Source organism: Homo sapiens, chromosome 13 (genome assembly GCF_000001405.40).
Source record: "Homo sapiens chromosome 13, GRCh38.p14 Primary Assembly".
Lineage (NCBI taxonomy): Eukaryota > Metazoa > Chordata > Mammalia > Primates > Hominidae > Homo > Homo sapiens.
Window position 1 is genome coordinate 90,219,089 of NC_000013.11, and position 1,897 is coordinate 90,220,985.

Below are 1,897 nucleotides of genomic sequence, written 5' to 3' on the forward strand. Positions count from 1 at the left end.
AGATGGGTGGATCTCCTGAGGTCAGGAGTTCCAGACGAGCCTGACAAATATAGTGAAACCCCGTCTCTACTAAAAATACAAAAATTAGCTGGGCGTGGTGACAGATGCCTGTAATACCAGCTACTTAGGAGGCTGAGGCAGGAGGATCCCTTGAGCCCAGGAGTTGGAGGTTTCAGTGAGCTGAAATCATGCCACTGCACTTCAGCCTGGGCGACAGAGTGAGACTCCATCTCAAAAAAATAAAAATAAAATAAAATAAAAAATCAAGTTAAATTAAATTAAAAATCAATAAAAATAAACCTTAAAAGCATCAAATATTTATAAATGATACAAGAACCTATTGAAATAACCCATTTGTCCAAGAAGAAACACAATGAAACTTTAAAAATATTTTAAAATAAATGATAATGAAAACTGCACTTGTCAAAATTTGTGACACGCACTTAAAGGAGTACTTAGAAGGAAATTCATAATTTACATGTTTATATCAGAAAAGAAGAACAGTTTATGACTAGCCATATGTAGAAATCTGAAACTGGATCTCTTCATTACACCTTATACAAAAATTAATTCAAGATGGATTAAAGACTTAAACGTTAGACCTAAAACCGTAAAAACCCTAGAAGAAATCCTAGGCAATACCATTCAGGACATAGGCATGGGTAAAGACTTCATGTCTGAAACACCAAAAGCAATGGCAACAAAAGCCAAAATTGACAAATGGGATCTAATTAAACTAAAGAGCTTCTGCACAGCAAAAGAAACTACCATCACAGTGAAAAAGCAACGTACAAAATGGGAGAAAATTTTTGCCATCTACTCATCTGACAAAGGGCTAACATCCAGAATCTACAAAGAACTCAAACAAATTTACAAGAAAAAGACAAACTACCCCATCAACAAGTGGGCGAAGGATATGAACAGACACTTCCCAAAAGAAGACATTTATGCAGCCAACAGACACATGAAAACATGCTCATCACTGGCCATCAGAGAAATGCAAAGCAAAGCCACACTGAGATACCATCTCACACCAGTTAGAATGGCAATCATTAAAAAGTCAGGAAACTACAGGTGCTGGAGAGGATGTGGAGAAATAGGAACACTTTTACTCTGTTGGTGGGACTGTAAACTAGTTCAACCATTGTGGAAGTCAGTGTGGCAATTCCTCAGGGATCTAGAACTAGAAATACCATTAGACCCAGCCATCCCATTACTGGGTATATACCCAAAGGATTATAAATCATGCTGCTATAAAGACACATGCACAGGTGTGTTTATTGCAGCACTATTCACAATAGCAAAGACTTGGAACCAACCCAAATGTCCAACAATGACAGACTGGATTAAGAAAATGTGGCACATATACACCATGGAATACTATGCAGCCATAAGAAACGATGAGTTCATGTCCTTTATAGGGACATGGATGAAGCTGGAAACCATCATTCTCAGCAAACTATCGCAAGGACAAAAAACCAAACACTGCATGTTCTCACTCATAGGTGGGAACTGAACAATGAGAACACTTGGACACAGGAAGGGGAACATCACACACTGGGGCCTGTTGTGGGGGTGGGGAGGGGGGAGGGATAGCATTAGGAGATATACCTAATGTAAATGACGAGTTAATGGGTGCAGCACACCAACATGGCACATGTATACATACGTAACAAACCTGCACATTGTGCACATATACCCTAAAACTTAAAGTATAATAAAAAAATAAAAAATAAGAAAAGAGCAATTTAAAATTAAGGAGCTTATGTCCATATTAAGAAGCCAAAGAATTATATGACCATCTATGTACCCAAAGAAAATTCATATGAAAAAAACTCTACTCCTGTTCATAATAGAAATACTCATACAAAAATAATTGAAGAAAAATGTCTCAGCC